Source organism: Homo sapiens, chromosome 2 (genome assembly GCF_000001405.40).
Source record: "Homo sapiens chromosome 2, GRCh38.p14 Primary Assembly".
Lineage (NCBI taxonomy): Eukaryota > Metazoa > Chordata > Mammalia > Primates > Hominidae > Homo > Homo sapiens.
The window spans coordinates 99,329,432-99,343,458 of record NC_000002.12 but is presented as its reverse complement, the minus strand read 5'-3'; the positions used below and the strand labels follow the sequence as shown (position 1 = coordinate 99,343,458).

General features: G+C 42.9%; 2 protein-coding genes across 3 annotated transcripts in view, besides 12 other annotated features; one reads left to right on the top strand and one right to left on the bottom strand.

Moving 5' to 3' along the window:
- EIF5B (eukaryotic translation initiation factor 5B) overlaps nucleotides 1–6,070 on the bottom strand; it is a 63,938-nt gene extending 57,868 nt beyond the window's left edge. The window contains exon 1 of the mRNA NM_015904.4: nucleotides 5,870–6,070. Coding sequence (NP_056988.3) covers nucleotides 5,870–5,904 — 35 coding nt within the window. The 5' untranslated portion in view covers nucleotides 5,905–6,070. The remainder of the gene's footprint in view (nucleotides 1–5,869) is intronic.
- Nucleotides 5,188–5,687: an enhancer, noted in NCBI's record as "H3K27ac hESC enhancer chr2:99954235-99954734 (GRCh37/hg19 assembly coordinates)". NCBI's record gives its function as "activates a minimal SCP1, AML or CMV promoter by ChIP-STARR-seq in primed H9 embryonic stem cells {active_cell/tissue: H9 hESC(primed)}" and the evidence as "EXISTENCE:reporter gene assay evidence [ECO:0000049][PMID:30033119]".
- Nucleotides 5,642–5,801: a silencer, noted in NCBI's record as "silent region_11807". NCBI's record gives its function as "represses an Ori minimal core promoter by ATAC-STARR-seq in GM12878 lymphoblastoid cells {active_cell/tissue: GM12878}" and the evidence as "EXISTENCE:reporter gene assay evidence [ECO:0000049][PMID:35858748]".
- Nucleotides 5,642–6,189: a biological region, named in NCBI's record as "H3K27ac hESC enhancer GRCh37_chr2:99953733-99954234".
- Nucleotides 5,688–6,189: an enhancer, noted in NCBI's record as "H3K27ac hESC enhancer chr2:99953733-99954234 (GRCh37/hg19 assembly coordinates)". NCBI's record gives its function as "activates a minimal SCP1, AML or CMV promoter by ChIP-STARR-seq in primed H9 embryonic stem cells {active_cell/tissue: H9 hESC(primed)}" and the evidence as "EXISTENCE:reporter gene assay evidence [ECO:0000049][PMID:30033119]".
- Nucleotides 5,872–5,981: an enhancer, noted in NCBI's record as "active region_16287". NCBI's record gives its function as "activates an Ori minimal core promoter by ATAC-STARR-seq in GM12878 lymphoblastoid cells {active_cell/tissue: GM12878}" and the evidence as "EXISTENCE:reporter gene assay evidence [ECO:0000049][PMID:35858748]".
- Nucleotides 6,202–6,311: an enhancer, noted in NCBI's record as "active region_16286". NCBI's record gives its function as "activates an Ori minimal core promoter by ATAC-STARR-seq in GM12878 lymphoblastoid cells {active_cell/tissue: GM12878}" and the evidence as "EXISTENCE:reporter gene assay evidence [ECO:0000049][PMID:35858748]".
- Nucleotides 6,332–6,411: an enhancer, noted in NCBI's record as "active region_16285". NCBI's record gives its function as "activates an Ori minimal core promoter by ATAC-STARR-seq in GM12878 lymphoblastoid cells {active_cell/tissue: GM12878}" and the evidence as "EXISTENCE:reporter gene assay evidence [ECO:0000049][PMID:35858748]".
- Nucleotides 6,422–6,471: an enhancer, noted in NCBI's record as "active region_16284". NCBI's record gives its function as "activates an Ori minimal core promoter by ATAC-STARR-seq in GM12878 lymphoblastoid cells {active_cell/tissue: GM12878}" and the evidence as "EXISTENCE:reporter gene assay evidence [ECO:0000049][PMID:35858748]".
- Nucleotides 6,818–7,358: an enhancer, noted in NCBI's record as "H3K27ac hESC enhancer chr2:99952564-99953104 (GRCh37/hg19 assembly coordinates)". NCBI's record gives its function as "activates a minimal SCP1, AML or CMV promoter by ChIP-STARR-seq in primed H9 embryonic stem cells {active_cell/tissue: H9 hESC(primed)}" and the evidence as "EXISTENCE:reporter gene assay evidence [ECO:0000049][PMID:30033119]".
- Nucleotides 6,832–6,981: an enhancer, noted in NCBI's record as "active region_16283". NCBI's record gives its function as "activates an Ori minimal core promoter by ATAC-STARR-seq in GM12878 lymphoblastoid cells {active_cell/tissue: GM12878}" and the evidence as "EXISTENCE:reporter gene assay evidence [ECO:0000049][PMID:35858748]".
- TXNDC9 (thioredoxin domain containing 9) overlaps nucleotides 7,126–14,027 on the top strand; it is a 30,150-nt gene continuing 23,248 nt past the window's right edge. For both annotated transcript variants that reach the window (XM_017003147.3, NM_005783.4), the window contains exons 1-2: nucleotides 7,126–7,220; nucleotides 10,217–10,437. In XM_017003147.3, coding sequence (XP_016858636.1) covers nucleotides 10,249–10,437 — 189 coding nt within the window. In that variant the 5' untranslated portion in view covers nucleotides 7,126–7,220; nucleotides 10,217–10,248. The remainder of the gene's footprint in view (nucleotides 7,221–10,216; nucleotides 10,438–14,027) is intronic.
- Nucleotides 7,232–7,281: an enhancer, noted in NCBI's record as "active region_16282". NCBI's record gives its function as "activates an Ori minimal core promoter by ATAC-STARR-seq in GM12878 lymphoblastoid cells {active_cell/tissue: GM12878}" and the evidence as "EXISTENCE:reporter gene assay evidence [ECO:0000049][PMID:35858748]".
- Nucleotides 7,412–7,641: an enhancer, noted in NCBI's record as "active region_16281". NCBI's record gives its function as "activates an Ori minimal core promoter by ATAC-STARR-seq in GM12878 lymphoblastoid cells {active_cell/tissue: GM12878}" and the evidence as "EXISTENCE:reporter gene assay evidence [ECO:0000049][PMID:35858748]".

Sequence of the window (14,027 nt, the reverse complement as noted above, 5' to 3'; positions counted from 1 at the left end):
CACCAAAATGCAAGCAACAACAACAAAAATAAACTGGACTTCAACAAAATTTAAAACTTTTGTGAAAAAGAAACTTTAAAAGACAGTGGAAAAAACAAACTACAGAAATCAGAGAAAGTATCTGCAAATCATATATCTGATAAGGATCTAGTATCCAGACTATATCAAGACCTCTTACAACCCAACAATAAAAATACAACCCAGGCTGGGTGCGGTGGCTCACACCTATGATCCCAGCACTTTGGGAAGCCAAGACGGATGGATCACCTGAGGTGAGGATTTCGAGACCAGCCTGGCCAACATGGTGAAACCGCATCTCTACTAAAAATACAAAAATTAGCTGGGCATGGTGGCACTGTAGTCCCAGCCACTTGGGAGGCTGAGGCATGAGAATCGCTTGAATCCAGGAGGCAGAGGTTGCAGTGAGCCAATATCACGCCACTGCACTCCAGCCTGGCCAACAGAGTAAGACCCGGTCTCAAAAAAAAAAGAAAGAAAGAAAGAAAGAAAGAAAAAGACAACCCAGGCCAGGCACAGTGGCTCACACCTGTAATCCCAACACTTTGAGAGGCTGAGATGGGAGGATCACTTGAGGCCAGGAGCTGAAGACCAGCCTAGGTAACAAAGCGAGACCCCATCTCTACAAAAAATTTTTAAAAATTAGCTGAGTACAGTGGTGTATGCCTGCAGTCCTAGCTACTGGGGAGGCTGAGGAGGGAGGACTGCTTGAGTCCATGAGTTCAAGGTTACAGGGAGCGATGATCACACCATTGCACTCTAGCCTGGGTGACAGAGTGAGATTCCATCTCTCAACAGAAAGGAAGGAGAAAAGGAGACAAAAAAGACAAAATTTTACAATTTACCAAAAAAAAAGGAGGGGGAGGAATGATTACATTAACAGCAACAAAAATTCTGTGATACATGGGAAAAAGCCAAATCCTAAAGATTAAAATGAAGAAAATAATATTTTACTGTTATAGAATTAAATTAACCAACTAAATGGAGAGGCAAATCATATTACTTATTTGTTCACAAATATATTTCTAGCATCCAGAAAAATATCTGGCACTCAAGTGCTTAAATCTCAATATATTTCTTGAATGGAATGATTCAACACCATAAAGATGTCAAGTGTCACAAATAATCTATAAACTTAATGGACTCCCAATTGAAATCAATCTCAACTGATATTTACCTTGGCAAGTATTACATTTAAAAAAAAAAAGGAAAAATCTCAAATTGTTAAAATATCAAGAACATTAACATGCCCACAGATGTCTTCAGTTGCCTTTAAGTGATTCTCAAGCATTCTCAGCACCTGTAAGACATACATGAACGATGGTCAAACAGCTTGAGAAATGTCTCACAAATGCCTAAATCTAGTTTAGAAATCCCTAGGCCAGCAGTCCTCAAATTCATTCCCAAGGTCTCTTTAGGGAATCTAAACTATTTTAGGGGGTCAAAACTATTTTCAAAATAATACTAAGAGGATACTAGCCTTTTTCATTCTCATTTTCTCACAACTGTACAGGGGAGTTTTTCAGAAGCTAAATGATGTGTGATGATGCTGCAGATCAAATGCATAAGCAAATGTGAGGATCTATCTTCTATTAAGTCATATAATAGTGAAGATGTTTGCAAAAACGCTTAGCTCTTCTATTTTTGAAAATATGGTTATTTAATAATGTTATGTATCATAGTGTAAGTTTATTTTTATTTTTAAATTAAATATTTGAAGAACTTTTCAGTTTTAGTTTGTAATACCTGTAACTGGTAGATATAACCTACATACACAGAAGCCTTTTGTGTTCCTTAGGAATTTAAGAGTGTAAAGGAGTCTAGGACCAGAATTTGAGAATTGCTATTCTAACCTAACCACTGACACTCAGTTCCTTGGTAAAACAACACTCTGCCCACCTTATAGATCAACTGCAATACTGGAATAAACTTAGAAGCATAAATAAAGCACAACAAATGAGCAAGTAACATTAAAAGTAGCTGAATGAGTTCCCCACAGGGACAGCATGGAAGGCTAGAGAGGTTACTATCAACAAAAATCTATAATCTGTTTTCTTATTAATTTATAGCAAACTAGGACTTCTTCCCCTACCACTTCCTAAAGCGTCAGGATAGGAACAGGCTAGACCAAAAGAATTCTGATTATGCATCTTTTTTTGATGTAATTTATGCAGACAAGAGTTTCATTCAAATATATGCAAGTAAGAAATGAATTCCTTTATTAAACCTAGGCTATGTGTATTATATTTGTTTGATATGTGGATATTGAATCCTAGCCTTTGTCTCAACAAGTTTCCCGAGTCAACTGAAAAAGGTCAGGAAAACTTGCTGAACAAACACCACATCAAAATCTCATTCTTAGAATTACACAAACTGGGGCTGAGCGTGGTGAATCACACCTGTAATTCCAGGCCTTTGGGAGGCCAGGGTGGGAGGATCACTTGAGTTCAGGAGTTTGAAACCAGGCAGCCAACATGGTGAAACCCTGTCCCTACTAAAAACACAAAAATTAGCCAGGTGTTGGGCGCCTGTCATCCCAGCTACTTGAGAGGCTGAGGCAGGAGAATCGCTTGAGCCCAGGAGGCGGAGGTTGCAGTGAGTGGAGATCGCGCCACTGTACTCCACCCGGGGTGACAGAGCAAGACTCCATCTCAAAAAAAAAAAAGAAGATTTTTCACAAACTGGAACAGAATTCTAGAACTTGGTCTTTAAGCAAAATTCTAGAATTCTAAAAATACACAGACAAGAATAAATATCTTGATCACTGACACATGCTGTACAAATAAAATTAGGTAAGTTAAAATCTAATTTTAAATGAATACTGAGTGGCTAAGAAGTTAAAATAAGGATTAATTAAATATAAGAATTAAGGACAGTGAGTATTGTATGTTCTGTCCAAGAACTGAAAAGTGGCTCCATGCCTTCTCTTGATAACTAAATAAGCAGTTGTCATTTCTCACACAGTTCACACCTTGCCAGAAACATGCCTGACATAGCCAAGGAGGGGAGGTGGAATGACAGTAAAATCTTTAAAGTGTGGACCTTCACCCAGGAGAATAAAACCGGATCTCTATCTCATTTTACACAAACAAGAATACTAATCCTAAAATTGGACTTTCTCCCTCTAGATTTTCTTTCCAGTCTGTGTTTTTGTCCCATTTACAAATATTCAAAATATCCCTGAAGAAAGGAAAGAAATATTAAAATAAAGGTAAAAAGCTGACTCACAAAGCAGTGGAACTTCCCATTCCCCATCTCCCAATATCTCATGTGGAAGACCAAAATAAAAACCCAAGCAGTTCCAGTCAAAGGGAACTCTGCTAAAGCTCAGGATTTCTTAAACACAATCTGAAAGCCATTCATAAAAAGGAGTCCATGAGGCATTTATACACACACACACTCACAAAATGTATCAATTTCATATATTGGTATATGAGAAAATAAATGTTTTAAAATTATATTGCCACCACTTTCCCTTCAACATGAGCCAAAAACAAACAAACCAAAACAACAACAACAACAACAACAAAACACAGATTAGGTTGAGAGGGGGAAAAAACAGCATTTCTTCTACACAACCAAACCAATCATTTAACAACAGGGTCTAGTGTGCAATTTAAACTTTACAGCATCCCTGAAAATCTTTATAAATCAATGAGACACTCACTTTTCCCTAAAAAGACACAGACAAGAATAAACATCTTGTCTCCCAATGGCTTTTTTCTATTGTGAAAGAGCCTGGAAAGTAAAAAGTGTAAGTAGGGAAACATATAAGCCGGATCGCGCCTGTAGTCCTAGCTACTAGGGAGGCTGAGGTGGGAGGATCACTGGCCAGGAGTTCAAGACCTGACTGGGCAACATAGTGAGACTGCCCCTCCATCTCCAAAAAACAAAACAAAACAAAAACACATATATATGTAATTTTAATCTAAAGAACACATTTGTGTAATCCTAAACCAAACGAACGAATTGAAAAAAAAACTGTAATAAGACAATCAGGGAAATCAGCAAACTGACTGAATATTTGCTAATGTTTAAGAATCACTATTAATATTTCTTACAGATATACTTGGTGGATTTACAGATGAAAAGCTAATGAGATTTGCTTTAAAATATCTAGTAGGTGGGGGCCAGGGGCGATGGATCACGCCTGTAATCCCAGCACTTTGGGAGGCCGAGGCGGGCGGATCACCTGAGGTCGGGAGTTCGAGACCAGCCTGACCAACATGGAGTAACCCCGTCTCTACTAAAAATACACAACTAGCCGGATGTGGTGGTGCATGCCTGTAATCCTAGCTACTCGGAGGCTGAGGCAGGAGAATCGCTTGAACCAGGGAGGTGGAGGTTGCAGTGAGCCGAGATCGCGCCATTGCCCTAAGTTTCTTGTTGTCTGGGCAACAAGAGGGAAACTCCGTCTCAAAAAAAAAAAAAAAATGTATATATATATTTGTGTATATATTTGTATATATATATATTTATATATATGTGTGTATATATATTTGTATATATATATATATACACACACTTCTAGTAGGTGGGATGAAACCAAGCAGGTCATGTGCTAACAATGGTTGAAGGCAGGTAATTAATACATAAAGGCTCATTATACTCAGTTCTCTATTTTCTAGAGACAGCTGAACATTAGCAAGGAAAAAAGTACCCTATACATCAAAAATTCCTGTCAAAAGTACAGAAATTTGTGTTCCCCTACATCACCCATAATCCTTATTTTCTCATTCATCTGGTTTAACAATAATTCAATTCTCCAAACCAATTAACTTCCTCCAATAGACCTAAAACTGAAATACAAGACTATCTTTGTTGTCTTTTAATTCTACTCATAAGCTAGTCAAACGCTAGGTGAGAAAACGATCCAGGCTTCCAATTTATAATTAGTAAACTTATTTTAACTTCAAGACAACATATCTGTTTTGAGTCAGACTGATGAACTAGCACTAGTTTTTTTAATTTACCTTACTCTCCGCCTCGTATTTAAGTTTGGTGGGTAGTGTACGAACGTGTAATGTAACAGATGTTGTTCACTCCCAGGAAGTCAACTCTTTCCATCATGAGTAACAGAACTCAATCGAATGTGACACACAGAAATGTCTCAAAAATCTCTAGGTAAGTAACTCGCATATACCCTTATCCTCCCTCCCCAAAGCATTGCAGGTGGTTAGAAAGGAGCGACCTCGGTTGGTTGGTTTCTTCTTCTTCCCTTCCTTTCTTAGGGGAAGGCTAGAGAGCAAAGAAACGACAAAAAAAAACAGGCCGGAAGAAGGAAAGCGAAAAGCATGAGGGCTGGACAATCAGCCCTTAAATAAACGAAAACTGTATCCAAATCAGATTAAGTTGAGAGACAGCGAACTGCTAAACACCTCCCCATAACTCTAACGTACCTGAAACCGCGAGTAGAGAAACCCGGCCGTACATCACATTCAAGCTCCCTTCCCTCCCAAAGTACTCACAGGTATAAGAGGCATAAAAAGAACTTCCCCACCCTCGCCAAGAGTAGCGCGGAAAAAAACTCACACTGGCCTGGGCCACGCTGGCGAAGCCGCCTGACCCTCCCCGCGCGACCAGGAACCCTCAAATGACTACCCCGCTCCTCAGGCCGGGGAAGGGGTGCCGGGGGAGCGAGGCTCGACTGGGAGGACCCGCCCGCCGTCGAGGCCCTACGTGCCCACCCGGCCCGGGGGCTTGGGCCCGCTCCGCACACTCTGGGCCCAGGCCTGGTACCCCGCGAAGCTCATCGCGAGCCCAGACCCCGGTCCGACGCCGCGCCCGGCGAGACCCGCACACTCCACTGAGCCACGGCGGCCGCCGCCGTACGGACCCAACCCCTATCTACCTGTCTTCGCTCTTGTTTTTCTGTTTCTTCCCCATTGCTTGTCAATGGCGCTCGTGGCCCCAGCCCCTCTATTCGGTCTCTCACAGACCCACTGTCTCCCGGCTGACTTTGGTCTCCGCTCAGCTCTTTTCCCCTCGTGCTGCCGCCGCTCGCACCCGGCTCTCCACAGACCCGCGCACTGGAACAGGACACATATGGTGTGAGTTCTCAGTGCGCAAGCGCATCGCCCAGCCGCCTCGGCGTGAGGACGCAGGGCGCGGCTCATCGAGAGCTGCGCTTCGGGTAGAGCGTCTCCGGTTGACCGGCCGACCAGGCAGCAGCCCGAGCGCCCCCTGCCCTCAAGCGTCCGCCACGAGCCGACACCCGCGGGTTTTCCACGTTCTAGAACCCGGAGGTGGACAATGAAGCTGTCAATTTCGCCACCTCACCCCTCTCCCAACGGGGAACGCACGCTTCGGTTCAGGAGTGGGCTTTGGGCTTCCCTTTATATCTTTGTATTCTCAGCCGCACGAAGTTCAGTAAAGAACCACAACGAACCAATAGAGTCCTCTGGGGGTTTGCGAGAGAGATAAATTCAGGACAAAATAGGGACCTCTCAGTAACATCCATGCATTATGCATTATGTACAGTCACTGAATAAAACAGAACAGGACACAGCCGATCAATTCCCTAACATAGGTCTTCAGCTTCACCCTCAAAGCGAGGGCGAGTTCTAAAAATTCCTGTGTTTCGAAGAGTCAAGAGGGGACCTACAGGGGTGGTGGAAAATGTTCTATATCTGGATCTGGCCGGTGATATTTTGGGTTTTAACTATGCAAAAGTTAATTGTGCTGTATATGTTTATGCCTCGACTTTAGGAAAAATGTTAACAAAAGAAAACAAAAAAAAGAAAAATGTTCATTCAACACTAACAGAATGGAAACGCAGTTCAAGCGTCACGGCTGAGCGAGAGCACAGCTGTCTCATTTCCAGTCTGGCGCACTGGACCGTGAATACTGAAGCACGCTCCTGAGAAAGTCCGGCCACGACAGCCTGCGCACTAAGAAACTGCAACTCCCACAATGCTTTGCGGCCTTCCAGTTCGGCCGTGTACCCGGAGGAAAGCAAGGGTCGGACACCTTGGGTTCCGGGCTGCTGGGCGGGAGGCGCACGCGCAGAACTGTTCGCCACCCGACCGCCCGCCCCTTCCTCTGGCGTCCAAGGTGATATCGCGCGAGGTTCGCAGCCAATAAGGAGGCGGATGTGACGGCCCGTTTGCAGCCGCCGGCAGCTACTGCAAGGCAAAAGCCGGAGTGGACGTGTCTTTTGAAACTGCTGCTCTTTCACTTCTCAGGCGTCACCGAGAGCTCAGGTGAGGCAGAGGGTAGTGAGAAGAATCCGACCACCACGTCCGGGTGCTGGTGAACATTCTGCTGCTCCACATCCGGAGCGGAGGAGGGGCGCGGCCCCAGCACCGGTGTCGGTGTCCTGGCAGAGGCTCTTGCGCAAGCGCACCAGGAGGCGTCGAAGTTGGGGCCACCGGGACTGTGCTTTCCTCTGTTTCCCCGGGCGCAGGGAGTGGCCGGCTTGCCATTGGGGAGGTACCTGGGGTTCAGTTAAGGACCAGGCCCCTTGATTGTTTTGGCGGATACCTGTAAGGGTGTCCAGGAAATGACTAGGGAATTTGAGGACGCGCTGTGTCCCGTCCCACCCTTCCAGCGGAGCTGTAAAAAGGAAGAATCAGAGGCTGTGGTTTGAAAAATGAAAAGCTAACGAGGGGTTGCATCGTCTCTTTACCCCATTCTCAATGCTCTGACCACCAACACCTACACCCAGAATAGCTCTTCTTAATCTCGTCTTTTTCCAGTTATCCCATAATTAAATTCTGGGCTCATTCTATAAAGTTCCAGGGTAGGCATTCTCTGTGCTTATCCCTGGAGCACAGCTTCCAACGTTCAATTCAGTATCTTATTATCTTCTCCTTCCAGCCCCCTCACTGAGGGTCACAGTCCTACTGACATTTTTCTTGGGCGATAGGGAGCGTGGAAATCTTTGCTGTGTTTGAAATACAGCACCTTTCCAATTTTATAGCACTCACGAGGAGCTTACAATTTGGTTTTTTAGACTCAAATACTTTTGAAACTTAACAGTGTAGTAATTTGAACAGAAGTCAGGCACGTGTTCATTCAACGTTAAATACATGTTTATTGAGTACCTGCTGTGTTCTATGGAGATACAAAGATGAAATCAAGTATGCTTTTCAAATCCTTTTCCTGTAAAGAAAAAGGAATCAGAATTGAAGTTTGCAAGAATATTTCTCTTCAGCTCAACGTTTATAGAGGGCCTGTGTGGGTCAGAATCTGTGTCAGAAGCTGAGTGAATGAATTCACAGTTTGTTGTGAAGTTTGGGGTGCTTCAGTATTATTTGCAAATGTATCATAGTTCATTGATATGCAACAGCCTCCTGCTTTGATAGGCAAATTATAAATCATTTCTGCAGTAATAACCCTGAGATACACATAAACTTGCCCTCTAATTGTTGGTATAAAATTTCTCGTACAAAATACTCCATTTCTTTTAAAAGAAGTAAAATTTTGGCCGGGCGCGGCTGGCTCACGCCTGTAATCTCAGCACTTTGGGAGGCCGAGGCGGGCGGATCACGAGGTCAGGAGATCGTAGCCATCCTGGCTAACACGGTGAAACCCCGTCTGTACTAAAAATACAAAAAGAAATTAGCCGGGCGTGGTGGCGGGCGCCTGTAGTCCCGGCTACTCGGGAGGCTGAGGCAGGAGAATGGCGTGAACCCAGGAGGCGGAGCTAGCAGTGAGCGGAGATGCGCCACTGCACTCCAGCCTGGGCGACAGAGCGAGACTCCGTCTCAAAAAAAAAAGTAAAATTTTGTACTAATTGCTAGTACAAAATACTCCATTTCTTTTAAAATATATAGTCATGTGCCACATAAGGACATTTCAGTTTTATGAGATTGTAATACTGTATTTATCGTACCTTTTCTATGTTTAGATACACAAATGCCATTATGTTACAGTTGTCTGCAGTATTCAGTACAGTAACATGCTGTACAGATTTGTAGCCTAGGAGTAATAGGCTGTATGGCATAGCCTAGGTGTGTAGCAGGCTGTACCATCTGGGTTTGTGTAAATAGTCTATAATGTTTGAAACAATATCAAAATCACCTAATGATGCATTTCTCAGAATGTATTCTCATTGTTTTGTGGGTTTTTGGTTTTTGGTTTTTGAGACAGGGTCTGGCTCTGTTGCCCAGGGTGGGGTGCAAGTGGTGCGTTCTCAGCCCACTGCAACCTCTGCCTCCTGGGCTCAAGGTATCCTCCTCCCACTTCAGCCTCCCTAGTAGCGGGGACTACAGGCACACACCACCGGGCCTGGCCAATTTTTCTATTTTTAGTAGAGACAGGGTTCCATCATGTTTCCCAGGCTGGTCTCAAACATCTGAACTCAAGTGATCTGCCCACCTTGGCCTCCCAAAGTGCTGGGATTACAGGCGTGAGCCATAGCACCCAGCCTAGAATATATTCCCATTGTTAAGTGATGCATGACTAATTGAGATAGGTCTTCCTTTCTAATCTGAATTAGTTCTATTTTGAAACTCTGATTTTACACAGAGGAGTGATGTTGGAAAAAAACCCAAAATTTAGAAAAGTATTTGGAGTGTTTTACATCAAAGTTAACACTGTCAGTAAATGGAAACCAGTATTAATTTTTGTGACCTCATAGACTTTTTTGTTAGGTAATGGGAGAACAGGAATGGACATTAATGCTCAGGGAACACCAGGCACTCTTCTTTACATAAATGGTAATGAGACGTCTTAGGAGTTAAATGAAACTCATTTGGGCAGCAGCCATGAAAAAAATCTGTGTTTTGCTCAACTGTACTCTGTGTTTAAGTAAAGTTTAATATATATATTTATGTGTAAAACCTCAGTAGGTATACCTTCCTATTGTTCGCAGTTGTTTCTGATTTCTCTTTCCCATTGGTAAAGAACACTGATTGTCAGTATATATCACTAGGTATAACTTCACAACTCATTTCTCTGTGGTTTGGTGATGGTCTTAAAGACTTGTCTTGGCTTTAGTATAGTAAAACATATGCTAAATCAGAAGCACCCTAAATTTGCTGTAAGTAGTTTTTGAGTGGTGTGACTAGAACCTACTGAGAATTAAATTTAAAAACACATAAAAATTGTTAAGCCCAGCATCAAGTGCTTGGATGTCGTTAGAATACTCCATAGAGTACACATTATACACTTGCCAGAATTTTTGAAAATGGTAGAGAAAACCTTGCTTATTGTTTGCATTTTTTAAAATGTATTTTGTAAATCTTCTCCCCAGCACCCAGGCTGAACTCTGTACCATTTGGAAGAATGGAAGCTGATGCATCTGTTGACATGTTTTCCAAAGTCCTGGAGCATCAGCTGCTTCAGACTACCAAACTGGTGGAAGAACATTTGGATTCTGAAATTCAAAAACTGGATCAGATGGATGAGGATGAATTGGAACGCCTTAAAGAAAAGAGACTCCAGGCACTAAGGAAAGCTCAACAGCAGAAACAAGTAACCTCTCTGCCCTGCTTTCTGAAATTGCTATAACAGTATGCGCCTAACAACTTATATATACATGTGCTGTAGTAGTTACATTTCGTTCTTTGTGTTTAGGGTTTTTAAAATTCAGAATACCTATTACTGTTAAAAATTTGCCCAGAAAAAAATATGTTTTAAAGACATTCAAAATTAGCCCAATCTCTATATTAATCCACAGTCGAGTAAAAGAAAGATCTGCCCAAGATCGTTTTTCTGAGCTTGGATTTGTTTGGTTGAATGGAGGGCTAGGGAGTCATTGGTTTCCATTTCAGGTAATATTAAAGCCGATTTAGCTATTTTCAAAGCAAACGAGATAAGACAGATGAGATAAGAGCAATTAAGTCAATTTATGTTGAAAAATGTATTTCAGGCATTTCCAATGAAATAATTATGTGGCATATTCAAAAGAATGCATGCTTTGTAACAAAGGTGGCCACAGCTCTATCGTTGTTGCCTCTTAGAATGTTTGTGTAGAATAAACGCAGAGTTGTAAACTCTGACTGAAACCAGTGGATTAAATTCTGTAAATTGAAATTTTTTTTTCTGCTTTTTGAGATGGAGTCTCGCTGTGACACCCTGGCTGGAGTACAGTGGTGTCATCTCAACTCACTGCAACCTCCGCTTCCCGGCTTCAAGCAATTATTCTGCCTCAGCCACCCGAGTAGCTGGGACTACAGGCGCACACCACCATGCCTGGCTAAGTTTTGTATTTTTAGTAGAGATGGGGTTTCGCCATGTTGGCTAGGCTGCCCTTGAACTTCTGACCTCAAGTGATCCGCCCACCTTAGCCTGCCAAAGTGATGGGATTACAAGCGTGAGCTACCGCACCTGGCCAAATTGAATTTTGATTAAAACATTTTTTCCACTGGGTTACATGGAAATACTTTATCACCAACTCTGGTTCCTTTTCAGTTGACTGTGACTTAAACATGAGGCTTAACTTTTCTGAAGAAATAGGGAGTTTTGACCGGGCATGGTGGTTCACATCTGTAATCCCAACACTTTGGGAGTCCAAGGTGAGCGGACAACCTGAGGTCGGGAGTTCAATACCAGCCTGGCCAACATGGTGAAACCCTGTCTCTACAAAAAATACAAAAATTAGCCAGGTGTGGTGGCGCACACCTGTAGTCCCAGCTACTCAGGAGGCTGAGGCAGGAGAATCTCTTGAACCCGGGAGGTGGAGGTTGCCGTGAGTCGAGATTGTGCTACTGCACTCCAGCCTGGATGATAGAGCAAGACCCAGTTCCCCCACAAAAAAAGAGAAGGAGTTTTGTTTGTATTGCTGTAGCATCACTTTGATATGTTTACACCCTCATGTTTAGAAGAGTTACTACAAAAGGAAATAATCTTTTATAAGTGAGTCCAAATTTTTATATTTTGAGTTTCTAAAATAGAGTACGTTATATGGCTTTTACCTGTACCCTACCGTATTTTAAAAAATAGGCTGCTTTTCTTTTTCTTTTCTTTCTTTTTTTTTTTTTTTTTGAGAGGGAGTCTCACTCTGTTGCCCATCCTGCCTTGACCTCTCAAGTAGCTGGGATTACAGGTGCCTGCCACCATGCCCAGCTGATTTTTGTACTTTAGTAGAGATGGGGTTTCATCATGTTGGTCAGGCTGGTCTCAAATTCCGACCTCAAATGATCCGCCTGCCTCAGCCTCCCAAAGTGCTGGGATTACAGGTGTGAGCCACCCCACACCAGGCCCAATTGGCTTCTTTTCATAGTATAGGGCTGATAATTAGTATGCAAAGGACGGATTATTGGAATTTAAGGTAATATATGTTTAGGTTCTGCCACAAACTCATATTTCATAGTCACATTTAAGTACTAATTGCTAATGTGCAACTAAAAATAATTATTTGTAACTAGGATATTTTTGTAGAGAGACTGAATTCACCTGATTTGCAGTGATGAACATACGTTAAATAATGTCTTAAAGGAACTTTTTGGCAGTTCAAAACAGTGGTCTGAATATAATTAAAACCAACTAAGGCAGACTGGCTATAAGCCTTTTTTATTATTAATGTATAAATCAATTTAAAATGAATTTGTCATCGAGTAATTCAGAGGGTCTTATTTTAGAACTTTCACTGCATTTTAGTAGGTCTTTTATTAAAATATTTTCTGGAAATAGTCAAGAAACCTAGTGATTTGTATAGATATTCTTTTTATAAGAGATTATACAGTAATTAGATTATGCAGTAATTTTGATTTTCTGATCCACGAGGGTATTGGGGAGATCATTGTATGCATTGACTTACAGTCGGCACTTAATAGACCTAGGTGAATCTATATTCTTCTGTCAGCCAAGCACCCTCCTACTGTTAACTAGAGCTGGCACACTTAGGTAGGGAGCAGAATAGAGGGATAAGGTAAGAAATAGGAGTTAAGCAGAGGCTTGGGTGACAGCCACTGACAGCCAGGTGCTGCCCAGCTGCCATGCCTCAGGTAGGCCCATCCTGCTTGATTCTGTTCTGCAGATACCTTAGGAGCACATGCTGTCCAAAAGGGGCTATGCTAAGAGCACAGGGGTGTAGTGAATGTGTCAGGAGAGGCCCTGAGCATTGGTAGAGGTTTGGAATGGGCACATCCTCCCTCAAAGGAGCCCAGGACAGGTTCGGGTCTTCAGCCTCTTGGTTAAATACCTGAGAATAAATAATGAAAAGAAATAGCAGCTTTTTTTTTTTTTTTTTTTTTTTTTTTTTGAGATAAGAGTCTTGCTCTGTTGCCCCGGCTGGAGTGCAGTGGCACAATCTCGGCTCACTGCAACCTCCACCTCCCAGGATCAAGCAATTCTTCTGCCTCAGCCTCCCAAGTAGCTGGGATTACAGACGCCTGCCACCATGCCCGGCTAATTTTTGTATTTTTAGTAGAGGTGGGGTTTCGCCATGTTGGCCAGGCTGGTCTTGAACTCCTGACCTCAGGTGATCCGCCCACCTCAGCCTCCCAAAGTGCTAGTATTACAGGCGTGAGCCACTGCGCCCGGCCTAGAAATAGCAGCTTTTTAAAAGACAAATACTTTTTTTTTTGAGACAGGGTCTTGCTCTGTCACCCAGGCTGGAGTGCAGTGGTGTGATCTTGGCTCACTGCAACCTCCGCCTTCGGAGTTCAAGCAATTATTGTGCCTCAGCCCCCGAGGAGCTGGGATTACAGGTGTGTGCCAACACACCTGGCTAATTTTCATATTTTTTGTAGAGACAGGGTTTCGCCGTGTTGCCCAGGCTGTTCTCAAACTCCTGTCCTCAAGTGATCCACCTGCCTCAGCCTCCCAAAGTGCTGAGATTACAGGTGTGAGCCACTGCGTCCAGCCTAACAAATACTTTTTAAGGGCACATATCATTGGTAAGTTGTGAAAGCAGTCATGAAATGTCATATGTCATTAGGGAATTGTATTTGAGAGTTAAACTGTGTGTAGAAATTTCACATAAGAAAATATCAGGGTATCCTGCAAGTGTCAGCTCGATGTAAATGGATGTGATTTTGACACCGCAGTCATCAATATAGTCTGGGCCACGTTCACTGACGTCCAGAGGAGGAAGGGAGATGGCCCTCCTGGCTCTTTGG